This window comes from Homo sapiens, chromosome 19 (assembly GCF_000001405.40).
Source record: "Homo sapiens chromosome 19, GRCh38.p14 Primary Assembly".
Taxonomy (NCBI): Eukaryota; Metazoa; Chordata; class Mammalia; order Primates; family Hominidae; genus Homo; species Homo sapiens.
The window spans coordinates 14053315-14067775 of record NC_000019.10 but is presented as its reverse complement, the minus strand read 5'-3'; the positions used below and the strand labels follow the sequence as shown (position 1 = coordinate 14067775).

Sequence of the window (14461 nt, the reverse complement as noted above, 5' to 3'; positions counted from 1 at the left end):
CCCCGTCTCTACTAAAAATACAAAAAAATTTAGGTGGGCGTGATGGTGTGGGCCTGCTACTCAGGAGGCTGAGGCAGGAGAATCCCTTGAACTTGTGAGGCAGAGGTTGCAGTGAGCCGAGATCGTGCCACTGAACTCCAGCCTGGGTGACAGAGTGAGACTCAGTCTCAAAAAAAAAAATCTACGCTGGGTGCAGTGGCTCACGCCTGTAATCCCAGTGCTTTGGGAGGCTGTGGCAGGAGGATCACTTGAGGCAAGGAGTTTGAGACCAACCTGGGCAACGTGGCAAGTGGTGAGACTCCACTTCTAATATATATATAATATATTATAAAATATCTATAATATATAATATTATATAATTATATAATATATTAATATAGAAATATAAATATTATATATATATTTATATATATAATATATAATATATAATACATTAATATATAATATATAATACATTAATATATTATATATAATATATGTATTATATTATTATTTTTTATATTTATTAATTTATTAATAATATATCAACAATAAATTATTAATAAATTAATAATATATTTATATTTATTATTATATTATGTATTTATTATTATATATTATTAATATATTATATATAATATATTTATAGACATTATTATAATATATAAATAAATATATTATTATATATAATATATAATACATTATATATAATATATTTATATATAATATATTAATATATATAATATATTAATATATTATATATATATAATCTTTATGCTGATGTCTCCCAAATTTATATCTCTAACTCTAACTGCTCCGCTAGGCTTTGGACTCATATCTAGCAGTCTCCGGTCTAATAGACATTTCAGACTGAACACTTCCAAAACCACATTCTTGGTTCTTCCAACCCTACTCCTCCTCACCATGTGTGTCAATTTCACCCATTCAGTTTTTCGTGCCAAAAAGTACCCCAGGAGTCAGCCTTAATTTCTTTCTTTAGCCACCCTCCAATTCATCAGCAAACTCTCTTGACTCCACCTCCAAACAGATTTTGGATTCATCCACTTCTCTCCATCCTTGTTCCTTCCAGCCACCTCCTCCCTCTCAAAGGTTCCCATCAAGCCACGCACAGTGGCTTGCTCATAATCCTAGCTACCCTGGAGGCTCAGGCGGGAGGATGGCTTGAGCCTAGGAGTTCAAGAACAGCCTGGACAACATAGTAAGACACCATCTCTAAAACAATAATAATAATACAAATAAAACAAAGGCTCCCACCAAATTTAGAATAAAAATACGAATTCTCTACCTTGCCCCAGCAGGCCCTGCCCACTTCTCAGGTCATATCTTCTCACACTGTCACCTTGTGTCACTTCATTTCAGCTTCGTACTTCCCTTAACCCCTCCCCCAACTGCATTCCCACCTCAGGGTCTTTGCACTGCTGTTTTCTCTGCTTGAAATGACAGTCACATGGCTGGTTCCTCTATTCAGGTCTCACCTCAAATGTCACTTCTTCAGGGAAGTGGTCTCTGATAACCCAGCCTACAAGAGCACTCCTTCTTTAGCCCCATTTCAGGTATTCTCAATAACTCACCCCCAATTGCAGTTGCCACCAATTGCTTTCATTTTTATTTTATTCTTTTTTTTTTTTTTTTTTTTTTTTTGACAAAAAGTCTCACTCTGCCAACCAGGCTGGAGTTCAGTGGCGCGATCTTGGCTCACTGCAATCTCTGCCTCCAGGATTCAAGCAATTCTTCTGCCACAGCCTCCCGAGTAGCTGGAATTACTGGTGGCACCACCGCGGCTGGCTTATTTTTCTATTTTTAGTGGAGACGGGGTTTCACCACGTTGGCCAGGCTGGTCTTGAACTCCTGACCTCATGATCCACCCACCTCGGCCTCCCGATGTGCTGGGATTACAGGCATGAGCCACCGCGCCCAGCCTTCTTCTTCTTCTTCTTTTTTTGAGAGGGAGTCTCGCTTTGTCACCCAGGCTAGAGTGCAGTGGCATGATCTCGGCTCACTGCAAGCTCTGCCTCCCGGGTTCATGCCATTCTCCTGCCTCAGCCTCCCATGTAGCTGGGACTACAGGTGCCCGCCACCATGCCTGGATAATTTCTTTTTTTTTTTGTATTTTTTAGTAGAGACAGGGTTTCACCATGTTAGCCAGGATGGTCTCGATCTCCTGACCTCATGATCTGCCTGCCTCGGCCTCCCAAAGTGCTGGGATTACAGGCGTGAGCCACCGTGCCTGGCCCCAGCCTTCTTTTTATTATTTTTTTTTTTTGAGAAGGAGTCTTGCTCTGTTGCCCAGGCTGGAGTGCAGTAGCACCATCTCGGCTCACTGCAACCTCTGCCTCTCAGGTTCAAGCAATTCTCCTGTCTCAGCCTCCTGAGTAGCTGGGATTACAGGTGCATGGCCGGCTAATTTTTTGTATTTTTAGTAGAGTCGGGGGTTTCGCCATGTTGGCTAGGCTGGTCTCGAACTCCTGACCTAAGGTGATTTGCCTGCTCGGGCTTCCAAAGTGCTGGGTTTACAGGCATGAGCCACCAGACCCGGCACCAATTGCTTTTATATTTCTTTCTATTTGTGTATTATCTGTCTCTCTCCCCATACGAGAAAGTGAGCTGCATAATAGCATTTTCTGTTTGTCTAGTTCATCTCTATACCCAATGCCCCCATGCCTAGAATAATGCCTTATTATTATTATTATTTGAGATAGGGTCTTGCTCTGTCACCTAGGCTGGAGTGCAGTGGCGTGATTACAACTCACTGCAGCCTCAACCTCCTGGGCTTAAGCAATCCTCCTGCCTCCGCCTCCCGAGTAGTTGGAATTACAGGCATGAGCCACCATGCCTGGCTCCAACATCTAAATATTTAACAGTTATAAAATCAATCTACAAACAATTAAATAGGCTGGATGTGGTGGCTCACATCTGTAATCCCAGCACTTTGGGGGGTGGATCACTTGAGGTCAGGAGTTCAAGACCAGCTTGGCCAATATGGTGAAACCCGCCTCTACTAAAAACACAAAAAATAGCCAGGCATGGTGGCGCATGCCTGTAATCCCAGCTACTCAGGAGTCTGAGGCAGGAGAATCACTTGAACCTGGGGGGCAGAGGTTGCAGTGAGCCAAGATCGCACCACTGCACTCCAGTCCAGCCTGGGTGACACAGTGAGACTGTCTCAAATAAATAAATAAATAATAAATAGAATATTTTATTTCCTCCAAAAGGTGGAAATAACTCAAATGTCTATCAATGGATAAATGGATCAGCAAAATATAGTATACTCATATGATGAAATATTATTCAGCCATAAAAAAGGAATTAAGGGGGCTGGGCACGGTGGCTCATGCCTGTAATCCCAGCACTTTGGGAGGCCGAGGCGGGTGGATCACGAGGTCAGGAGATTGAGACCATCCTGGCTAACACAGTGAAACCCCGTCTCTACTAAAAATACAAAAATTAGCCAGGTGTGTTGGCGGGCGCCTGTAGTCCCAGCTACTTGGGAGGCTGAGGCAGGAGAATGGTGTGAACCCGGGAGGCGGAGCTTGCAGTGAGCCTAGATTGCACCACTGCACTCCAGCCTGGGCAACAGAGCGAGACTCCGTCTCAAAAAAAAAAAAAAAAGAATTAAGGAACGATAAATACACGCTACATGGATGAAATTTTAAAACGTGATGCTGAGTGAAAGAAGCCAAACACAAAAGACCACATAGTGTGTGAGTCTTTTGTTTGTTTGTTTGTTGAGACCGAGTTTCGCTCTTGTTGCCCAGGCTGGAGTGCAATGGCGTGATCTCGGCTCATCGCAACCTCCGCCTCCCGGGTTCAAGTGATTCTCCTGCCTCAGCCTCCCAAGTAGCTGAGATTACAGGTATGCACCACCATGCCTGGCTAATTTTGTATTTTTAGTAGAGATAGGGTTTCTCCATGTTGGTCAGGCTGGTCTTGAACTCCTGACCTCAGGTAATCCGCCCACCTCAGCCTCCCAAAATGCTGGGATTACAGGCATGAGCCACTGCGCCCGGCCTGTGAGTCCATTTTTATAGAACTATCCAGAATAGTCCGGGCACAGTGGCTGACGCCTGTAATCCCAGCAGTTTGGGAGGCCAAGGAGGATGGATCACCTGAGGTCAGAAGTTCAAGACCAGCCTGGCCAACATGGTGAAACCCTGTCTCTACAAGAATACAAAAATTAGCTGGGCGTGATGGCGGGTGCCTGTAATCCCAGCTACTTGGGAGGCTGAGGCAGGAAAATTGCTTGAACCCAGCAGGTGGAGGTTGCAGTGAGCCAAGATTGTGCCCATCGCACTCTAGCCTGGGCGATAGAGTGAGGCTCCATCTAAAAAAACAAACAAACAAAAAAGAAAAACAAAAAGTCCAGAATAGGCAAATCCATAGAGATGGACACAGATTGGTGGTTGCCAGGCACGGGAGGCAGGGGAATGAGTAGTGATCACTTCCTTTTGGGTTGATGAAAATATTCTGAACCAGTGGTGAGGATTGCATAATATTGTGAACATACTAAATGCCACTAATGGTAAATTTTGTTATGTGTATTTTACCACGATCAAAAAGTAATTTTTTTTTTTCAGACGGAGTCTTGCTCCGTCACCCAGGCTGGAGTGCAGTGGCATGATCTCAGCTCCCTGCAATCTCCGCCTCCTGGGTACAAGCAATTCTCCTGCCTCAACCTCCCGAGTAGCTAGGACTACAGGTGTGCCACCACACCTGGCTAATGTGTATCTTTAGCAGAGGCAGGCTTTCTCCATGTTGGCCAGGCTGGTCTCAAACTCCTGACCTCGTGATCCGCCCACCTCGGCCTCCCAAAGTGCTGGGATTACAGGCGTGAGCCACCGTGCCTGGCTCAAAAAGTAATTTTTTTTTTTTTAGACAGAGTTTTGCTCTTGTTGCCCAGGCTGGAGTGCAATGGTGCGATCTTGGCTAACTGCAACCTCTGCCACCTGGGTTCAAGTGATTCTTCTGCCTCAGCCTCCCAAGTAGCGGAGGTTACAGGCATGCACCACCATGCCCGGCTAAGTTTTTTTTTGTATTTAGCAGAGACGGGGTTTCACCATGTTGGTCAGACCAGTCTCGAACTCCGCCCTCAGGTGATCCACCCACCTGGGCCTCCCAAAGTGCTAGGATTACACATATGCACCACTGTGCCTGTTCTTAAAAAATAATTTTAAAAAATGTTATCTGCCAGATGTGGTGGCTCATGCCTGTAATCCCAGCACTTTGAGAAGCCGAGGAGGGAGGATTGTTTGCGCCCCGGAGTCTGAAACTGCAGTGAGCTATGATCGCACTACTACATTTTAGCCTGGGCAACAGAGTGAGACCCCCATCTCTAAAAAAATAAAACAGTCTCCAGCCTGTGTGCTATGCAATGGTGCTCTCCTGTGGGTGAGTCTTGGCAGGCAGTCAGACTCAAGATGATTGGGGTGCCAAGTAGAAATGCCATTCTCTGGTGGCAGGGGGAGTCACCGACTCAGTACTCTCACCCCCACGCTTGACCACGCGTGTGTGAAAGTGTTTTCCGGGAGGCAGCTGAGTGCAACAAAGAGGCCAGAGGCTGGTGAATAATTTATCAGGACAGCTGATAGTACCTCCCCAGAACTGCCCTCCAGCCCCCAGCCCCCCTCTCTGGTGTGCCTACCGCCTCCCTGGCCCAAACCCGCTGGACCTGCTCTCCCGGTGCCCGCCCGCAGCCCCCCCCCACTCCAGGCAGCCAAGTCACAGCCTCCGGGGCACCTTCAGGCAAGCGGGTGGTGGGTCCAGAACTCGGAGACCAGAAAGTGAACTTCTGGGCAGAGATGGCCCTGCAGAGCCAGGTGTGGTCTCTGGCCACACCCATGTAAGTGTCTGGGGGGTCAGGGGGGCTGGTGGGCAGGGCCTTGGGAGGGGCTCATGGGGGATGCTGGCCTTGTCTGGGAGCCGAGAGCTCCAGTGGTCTCTCCTAAGGGGACCCGGGGAGTGGAGGGGTTGGCTAGCCAACCCCATAGGCTCATCAGTGTCACCCTTCCTTAAAGAGTCAAGGGGTGGGAGAGAGATATAGGCTCCCCCTGCCCCTTCCTCTTCGGGGATTTTCCGCTGCCAGGGCTGAGAACCCAAAGTCCAGCCAGGGGGTGGGGCTACTGCTGTGGTGCAGGGAGTGGGGAAGGTCAGGGTCACTGGGTTCCACGTTTTGCCCCTAAAGTCAGTGTCCAAGGTGGGAGAAAAGGCTTGAGATCCAACAGAAGTTAAAAGCTCCCAGCCTGAGAAAGACAATGGCAACATTGCAAGGATGACCTCCTTCATGAAATGGCCACCAACTCTTGCGGGTGGCCAGAAGCCCAGGCCGCCTACGTTGTTCTTCCAGAGTTAGTTAGAGATAAGCAAGATGGAATGGGGTGTGTGAAGTCTTTTCATAGCTGAGGGGTGAGAGTTTTTTAAGGTTAAAAGGGTAGAGGGGGCTTCAGAGGTTTGGAAAGAGTTTTGGAAAAGGGGCTTCCCCCCACACTAGGGACCCCAATTCGGTTCCTCACCCTTCTAGGTCCTCCATTGCATTATTCACCAACTACAAACCTGGTTGCTTAGCAATGGGAACCCGATCCCCCCCAGCAAGGAAGAGGCAGGGAGATTACATCTTGGGGGTGGTACAGGAGACCACGGGACTTCAGCCCTCCCCCAGGGGCAAACCTATAAGCACAGAATCTGGGCTTCCTTTGGGATATCTTGCAAAGCATGACTTCGTGGCCGGGCACGGTGGCTCACGCCTGTAATCCCAGCACTTTGGGAGGCCGAGGCGGGCAGATCACCTGAGGTCAGGAGTTCGAGACCAGCCTGGCCAGTATGGTGAAACCCCATCTGTACTAAAAATACAAAAATTAGCCGGGCTTGGTGGTGCACGCCTGTAATCTCAGCTACTCAGGAGGCTGAGGCAGGAGAATCACTTGAACCCAGGAAGCGGGGGTTGCAGTGAGCTGAGATTGAGCCATTGCACTCCAGCCTGGGTGACAGAGCGAGACTCCGACTCAAAAAAAGAAAGAGCATGACTTCAATTCCTTGCCCCAAACAGCATTCAGGGTCTCCAGGCTGCTCTCTTAGCTACCTTGATGGGGATTCCTAGACCTGCACCCCCACCCCCCTCGCCAGCTGTGTTCTCAGTATTTTGGATCTGATAGCTTCAAGTTCTGATCTTGGCTCCATGACCTTGGACACTGCTGCCACTTCTCAGAACCTCAGTTTTCCCATCCATAAAATGGACACATTCATATAGCTTACCTCCTAGAGTCGTTGGGAGGATTCAGTGAATTACATTGCACCTGGCACGTGTTACGGGCTAGCTAATGGTTGGCTGATTTTGTTCTTAGCTGGAATGTCAACTCAGCAAAGAGTTGACTCCACTGTGTCATGATAGAGGCAGGGAGGGGGAGGCAGAGGTGGCTGTGGGAACCTAGCGGAAACCCCGTGGGGCACTTAGAACACTATATGCTATATATAGTATATATATATCATATATATAGCACTATAAGTGCTAATAGCCTTCACGTTGTGGCCACAGAAGATCTGGAAGGTCCTAGCTGGAGTTCAGGCAATGAGGCTTACCCAGTAGGGTGACTGTTCAAATTAATAAATGTTTGAGGGTTTGATCAGCGCCCGTCCATGCCGGTGGAGATGACAGGCAGAGAGACATCGCTTTCTAGATACTGGCCTGTGACACGTGGTCAACATAGCAACATAGTCAGGGGTGCCCAATGCATGTCTGTGTTGATAAGGTTGGTGTGACACTGACTGTCCCTAATCATCCTGCAGTATGACAGTCACCCTCCAGCTTCCACGGGAGCCTAAGTGGGTCCAGAGGCCACTCTGGAGGCTGAGAAGTAGAGATGTTTTGAGGAAGACAATGACAGGGGAATCTCGAGTTAAACCTTAAATGGCAAGTCCCCCTCCTCCCAGCTCAGAGTCCAGTCCTAGGCAGAGTGACCCAGTGATCCTTGTCCCCAGGGAGGGGGGTTAGCAGGTGGAGGAGGCAGCTCTGGGGTTACCATGGCAACAGTGGGAGGGCCACAGACTCGCTTGCCCCCCCAGCGCTTGAGAAATTCTGGGTAGGAGCTGAGGTCCAGAGAGGGTGTGGGACTGGGAAGAGAAAGAGGCACACAGCCTGTTAGGGGCCTGGTGGCATTTGAGAGTTTCTGCAGGTTGGACTGGAGATGGTTATTATAATTAATCATACATATTATTCATCATGGAATTATATAAATTATGATTATTCATAAACAATGGGACTATTTTTGTAGCACTGTACCCTAAGCTTTTCCCTGCATGAATAGCTCCTTGCAAGCGTCCTCTGAGATCGGGGGTGGCAAGGACAGGGTGGTCAAGCTATTCCTGCCCATCTTACAGATGAGGAAACTGAGGCTGAGAGAGACAAAGCCAGATTTAGGGAGGGCTTTAGCCTCACCAGTCGTGGTCACTGCTCAGTTCCCCTCCCAAGACCCTCGCCCCCCGCCCAGACTCTTCCCAGGTGCAAAGGGGAAACAGAGGCAAAGTGCTGGGCTCGGGGCAATTTCCATACTGCTCAGGGATCTTGGCCAAGAGGGGGGCGTTCAAGATGGGAGCCCCTCGAAGCCCCTGCCCTCTCCCAACAGGCCCATGGCGGAGAGCTCCCTCTACCGGCAGCGGCTAGAAGTCATCGCTGTAAGTGACGCCCTCCCCGCGCCCTGGGCACCCCCAAACTTTCCACCATGCTCCCTTCTCGTCTCTCCGTCATCTCTGCGGAGAGCGCCCTCAGCTCCAGCCCCGCCCAGGGCTCCCCACACCAATTCTCCAGCCCCCTCTGCCCCCCAGTTCCTGTCTGGTCACTACCACCCTCAGAATGGGGAGCTGTGGCCCCCACACTTCCAGAGCCTGCATCGGCTATGCCTCATTCCTGAACCCCAGCCTCCCAAAAACCCCATGCCTGAGCCGCATCTCTCGGACCGCCTTTTATCAGACCGCTATCTCTCAAATCTCCCTACCTCGGAGCCCCCATCCTGACAGTCCTTCCTTGGGAACTTTCATCCCTGACTTCCTCGTCTCTCTGGACTCCCCCATCTCTGGGTCTCTACCACTCTGATCCTATCTCTGTCCTGCATCCTTCCCTCCTCCATCTCCCTGAACCCCAACTTTCCGCACGCACTTACATACCCCATCTATCCATACCTCCACCTCTGTACCCCATATTTCTGACCCCTATCTCTGTATCCCATCTCCCTGATCCCCACCTCTACACCTCAGTATCTCTGGACCCCGTGGCTGCACTCCCATCTCACTACTCACTAGCATCCTCCTTTTGATCCCCATCTCTGCACCCCATCTCTCCGGACCCCCATGGCTGCACCCCCATTTTGGATCCCCATCTCACTAGCACCCTCCTTTTTATTCCCCATCTATGGAACCCCATCTCCCTGCACCCCATCTCTCTATACCCCACTTCTGTACCCTATCTCTTCGCACTCAACTTCTATACCCCACCTATCTGCACCCCACTTCTGTACCCCATCTCACTGTACCCCACTTCTGTACCCCATCTCTCTGCACCCCCACCTCTGCACCCCATCTCTCTAGATTCCATGTCTACACTCCATTACTCTGGGCTCCCATGGCTGCATCCCCATTTCGGACCCCCATCTCACTAGCACCCTCCCCTCCTTTTTTCTTTTTTTGAGACGGAGTCTCGCTCTGTCGCCCAGGCTGGAGTGCAGTGGCGCGATCTCCGCTCACTGCAACCTGCGCCTCCCGAGTTCAAGAGATTCTCCCGCCTCAGCCTCCCCGGTAGCTGGGATTACAGGCGCCTGCTACCACGCCCAGCTAATTTTTGTATTTTTAGTAGAGCCGGGTTTTCACCATGTTGGCCAGGGTAGGCTAGAACTCCTGACCTCAAGCGATCTGTCCGCCTCGGTCTCCCAAAGTCCTGGGATTACAGGCGTGAGCCACCGCGTACGGCCGCACCCTCCCTTTGATCCCCATTTCTCTTAACCTCGTATCTCGGAGCTCCCCAGCTCTGCCCCTCCCCCGATAGCTGTCCCAAGGCCCCACCCCCTACACCCCCCATCCACAGACCCCCATTGGGCGCGGGCGAGGCCTCCGCAGCATCCCGGGCGCGGCCGGCCCCGCCCCCGCCCCGCCCCCCCCACTCCGCCCGCCGCTGAGTCAGCGCCTCCGCAGCCCCCTCCCCGCCCTGGGTGCAGACCCGCGCTGGGCCACCCCCGCCGGGCTCGCTGCCTCGGGAGCCCCGGGAGCTCCGGTGAGCCCCGCGGAGGAGGGAGGGGAAAGGGAGGGAAGAGGAGGTGGTGGAGGCCGCGCCCGGCCGGCGGGCAGCTCCGGGTCCTCTGTGCGCAGGAGAAGCGGCGGCTGCAGGAGGAGATCCGCGCCGCGCGCCGGGAGGTGGAGGAGGAGAAACTCCGCGTGGAGCGTCTCAAGGTTGGGGGCGGGCGGGGGCGCCTGCCTAGCCTGGGGAATGGAGTGGGGGGTGTCTGTGCAAGTCGGTTTGGGGGACGATAGGAGCCTCTGTCCAATTTTTGGGGGGGAGCGGGCAGTTGGGGGCGTTGGTTCCAGCTTGGCCGGGGCGGGGTATGTCTTTCCCAGCCTGGGAGGGACGAAGTGGGGTGGTCATGGGGACATTTGTTCCATTTGGGGAAAAGTCTGGGACAGTGATGCTGTTTGTCCCAATTTGGGGGAGATGGAGAGGAGCCGAAGTCTAGCTTTGGGGTAGGGAGGGGCCAGTAGGGAGGGACATTGATTTCACTTTGGAAGTGCCCGTTTCATTTTGGAAGGGTTTGGAACAAGGGATGTCTGCCCACTTGCAGCGTTGGGGGGCACTGTGGCCATGTATCCCAGCCTGATGTATGTCGCAACTGGTTGTGAGGTGGTGATAAGATACCTGCCCAGCCTGCAGAGGTCGGGAGGGGACTTTACATGGACCGGGGTAGTCTGTATGCCCAGCCCCAACTCCCTTCCCCTGCCCAGAGGAAGTCTCTCCGGGAACGTTGGCTAATGGATGGGGCAGCTGCAGTGCCAGAGCCATCCGAAGACCCCACCTCGAAGGACCCCCAGTCACCCGAGGGCCAGGCTCAGGCCCGAATCCGGAACCTGGAAGACAGTTTGTTCACGTGAGTGGAGACCTTCTAGCTCTGCCCGAACCCTGCCCCAGCTGGGTGAGATCGAGACCCTGGGCACATTCCAAGGAGGTGGTCGCTTGAGTCTAGGAGCCCAAGGAGCCTGGGGGCCCAGCTCCTAGCAGCCCTCTCTCTTCTTCAGACTCCAGTCCCAGCTGCAACTGTTGCAAAGTGCTTCCACAGGTGCCCAGCACAAGCCCTCAGGCAGGCCCAGCTGGCGCAGACAGGTGAGGGGGGAATCAGGGGAGTGGGATGGGAGGGCATGGCCAGCAGGCCTCAAGGCAGGACATGGAATCAGGAATGCAGCTTTCTCCAAGGGCAGCCTGGCCACTAGGTCTGCATTCAGATCCGCTTCCCGCTTTTACTTTGCTCTGTGGTCTTGGCAAGTCAATTTCCTTTTCCAAGCCTTAGTTTTCCCATCTCTAAAATGGGAATAACAACAGTATAGGCCAGGCATGGTGGCTCACGCCTGTAATCCCAGAACTTTGGGAGGCCGAGGTGGGCGGATCACTTAAGGTTAGGAATTGGAGACCAGCCTGGCCAACATGGTGAAACCCCATCTCTACTAAAAACACAAAAATTAGCTCGGTATGGTGGTGTGTCCCTGTAGTCCCAGCTACTGGGGAGGTTGAGGTAGGAGAATCACTTGAACCCTGGAGACAGAGGTTGCAGTGAGCTGAGATCACACCACTGCACTCCAGCCTGGGCAACAGAGTGAGACTCTGTCTCAAACAAAAATTAGCTGGGCATGCTGGCAGGTGCCTGTAGTCCCAGCTACTAGGGAGGCTGAGACAGGGAAATCGTTTGAAACCAGGAGGCGAACGTTGCAGTGAGCCGAGATTACGCCACTGCACTCCAGCCTGGGCGACACAGCAAGACTCCATCTCAAAAAAAAAATTAATTTGTATTTATGTTGATTGGAATGTAAGTGCCAAAAACAAAAGGCTTAAGTGTCCCTTGTGCATGGTAACCAGTAACTGACAAAGTAGGCCCCTAATACAGATTGGCTATGGGAATGCAGTATTGTTTAAGCACCTACTGTGTGCAAGGCCCTGGAACATAGGGCAATAAGATAGATGAGGAAGGCAGAGGTACAATGTGGAGTTTGATCCTGAAGGTAATAGAGAGCCACTGAGGGTATTTAGGGGTGGTGGGGTGGGAGCCTAGCATGCAGGGAGGCTGGAGGTGGGGATGAGGGCCAGCCTGACCTTGTCTCCGCCATCTCTGCAGGGTCACCGTCCTCTCTCCCAGTCCATTGTCGAGGCAGGTTCTGTAGGTAAGTGTGGGAGCCCCTAGGTCTGGGGGTCAGGTCACCCCAGAGCCTGGGTGTGAGAGGGTGACTCAAGGGGAGTGTGGATGGCAGTCCTTTTGTTCCATCTTAACCCTGTCTTCCCTTTTGTCCTCTCCCCTCCACCTCTGACTCCCCCAGGCCAGACTGATCTGAACAAGAGAGCCTCCCTGCCGGCTGGACTAGTGGGCACGCCTCCAGAGTCCCCCTCTGAGCCCAGGGAGGATGTCTTGGGGTTTCTGCCAGGCCCGAGGCAGGTCCCCGGGGCAGCAGGAGACTCCTCAGAAGCCAATGGCCCATGCCCCAGCCCCATCCCCACTCCAGAGCAGGGGCTAAGTCAGAGGGCAGTGCCATCCGAAGGGCGGGTGGGTGAGGCCAAAGGAGGGGGCGTGGTGAGTGTGGTGTGGGAAGGGCTGAGGGCCACAGAGGACTGTGCCACAGGGGCCACGGGCCCCGAGCTGGAGGCTAAGGTGGAGGAAGTGGTGCTGGAAGCCATCGGAGACAGGAAGGGAGCTGGTAGCCTGGAGCTCCCGGCCTGGGTGAAGGAGGACAGGGGCATCGTGGAGGTGGTCTGGGAGGGGGTGGGTGGCAGTGATGCAGAGGCCATGGGGGAGATAGGCAGGGTCCCTGAGGTCGTGCAGACTAGCTCGCCTAGGCTCCAGGAGAGATTAGAGGCAGCAGCTTCCATAGAAGGGGAAGATGTGCCCCAGGGCAGCCCTGAGGGTGATGGGCAGGGAGGCTCTGGAGGAGAGGAGGGATCCTTCATTTGGGTGGAGAGAGTGACCCTCAGTGAAGAGTGGGAGGAGCTGCTGGTGGAGGGGTTGGAAGGGCCCGAGGTGGCAGGGAGGGAGAGAGGAGATGAAAGCCCGCTGGGGGCCGAGGGGGCCAAGACGGGAGGAGGCGAGGAGACCTGGGAGGCAGAGAAGAGAAAAGCGGAAGAATCCATGGGAATAGGAAGTGAGGAAAAGCCAGGGACAGGGAGGGATGAAGCGGAGATGTCACCAGTGGTAGAGAGGAAAGGAGGAGAGAAGAAGTTGGAGCTGGAGAGCAGAGGAAGTGCAGAAAAGCTGGGAACAGAGAGGGAAGGAGGTGAGGAACCACTGGGCATAGAGAGAAAAGTTGAGGGACATTTGAGGGCAGAGAAGGAAGGAGATGAGGAAAAGCGAGGGGCAGAGGAGGAGGAGGTAGAAGAACCATTGGGAGTAGAGAAGAAAGGAGGTGAGGAAGAGCCAGAGGCAACCAAAGAACCACTGGAGGCAGAGAGAAAGGGAGGGGAGGAGACACTGGAGGCAGAGAAAAGGGGAGGTGAGGAATCATTGGAGACAGAGAAGACCCAAGGGACGGAGGGAGATCTGAATCTAGAACAAGGGTCTAGGGAAGGAAGTGAATCCCAGGCAGAGGAGATGAATGAGGCAGGGCCTCCCCTTGAGGCTAACACGGAGACAAGGCCAGAGAAGGAAGGACCCCAGCCCCAGGAGAAGCCAGTAGGAGCCCTGGAGGAGGAAGGAGTGAAGCCCCAAACCGCTGCTGAGGGCCAAGGCCCCTTGGGGGATGCCACACCTCTTCTGGCAGAGACCCCAGCCCCAGAGCAGCCCGCCGAATGCCAGCCACTGCTTCAGGGGGAGGGGCCCAGCGCCAACCCCAGTGCCCACCCTGTGCCCACCTACGCGCCTGCCCGGCAGCCTGAGCCATCTGCCCCCACCGAGGGTGAAGAGGCAAGTGGCCCTAAGCAAAAGACGTGCCAGTGTTGTGCGGTCATGTGAACCCATGCCCCTCCACCCCATGTCCAGCTCCTCTCACAGCTACCTCGGCCTCTTGGCACCCAGAAGAGGGTCCCAGGCACAGACAGGGACCACAGGACTGGCCATGGCACCTGGGAGCCAGCTAGCCTGCACGTCCACCTAAACCTGGGCTTCCAGACCCCTTGCCCACTGCCTGTAACCCTGGCCTCCTTCTGCGATGAAGCCTTTATACTTGAAAATAAAATGTGAAAGCACTCAAGACGGCTTGAATGTGTGTGTAGTCAGCACAGAATCACAGCGTCATCTCCTGG

The 14461-nt window shown here is 52.7% G+C and overlaps 1 protein-coding gene across 4 annotated transcripts, besides 3 other annotated features; it reads left to right on the top strand.

Moving 5' to 3' along the window:
• Positions 5205-5759: an enhancer, noted in NCBI's record as "H3K4me1 hESC enhancer chr19:14172829-14173383 (GRCh37/hg19 assembly coordinates)". NCBI's record gives its function as "activates a minimal SCP1, AML or CMV promoter by ChIP-STARR-seq in primed H9 embryonic stem cells {active_cell/tissue: H9 hESC(primed)}" and the evidence as "EXISTENCE:reporter gene assay evidence [ECO:0000049][PMID:30033119]".
• On the top strand, positions 5700-14409 carry PALM3 (paralemmin 3). Of its 4 annotated transcripts, NM_001145028.2 has the most exons (7): positions 5700-5836; positions 8613-8661; positions 10345-10425; positions 10972-11114; positions 11263-11347; positions 12351-12396; positions 12550-14409. In NM_001145028.2, the coding sequence occupies exons 1-7, from the start codon at positions 5796-5798 to the stop codon at positions 14169-14171; spliced, it is 2067 nt and encodes a 688-aa protein (NP_001138500.2). In that variant the 5' UTR covers positions 5700-5795; the 3' UTR covers positions 14172-14409. The 4 variants fall into 4 exon arrangements, with proteins under 4 accessions (NP_001138500.2, XP_047294719.1, XP_047294720.1 ...); XM_047438763.1 differs by lacking the exon at positions 10345-10425; XM_047438764.1 differs by lacking the exons at positions 5700-5836; positions 8613-8661; positions 10345-10425 and adding an exon at positions 10138-10249.
• Positions 10675-11175: an enhancer, noted in NCBI's record as "H3K4me1 hESC enhancer chr19:14167413-14167913 (GRCh37/hg19 assembly coordinates)". NCBI's record gives its function as "activates a minimal SCP1, AML or CMV promoter by ChIP-STARR-seq in primed H9 embryonic stem cells {active_cell/tissue: H9 hESC(primed)}" and the evidence as "EXISTENCE:reporter gene assay evidence [ECO:0000049][PMID:30033119]".
• Positions 11176-11676: an enhancer, noted in NCBI's record as "H3K4me1 hESC enhancer chr19:14166912-14167412 (GRCh37/hg19 assembly coordinates)". NCBI's record gives its function as "activates a minimal SCP1, AML or CMV promoter by ChIP-STARR-seq in primed H9 embryonic stem cells {active_cell/tissue: H9 hESC(primed)}" and the evidence as "EXISTENCE:reporter gene assay evidence [ECO:0000049][PMID:30033119]".
• Positions 14410-14461: the final 52 nt, after the last annotated feature.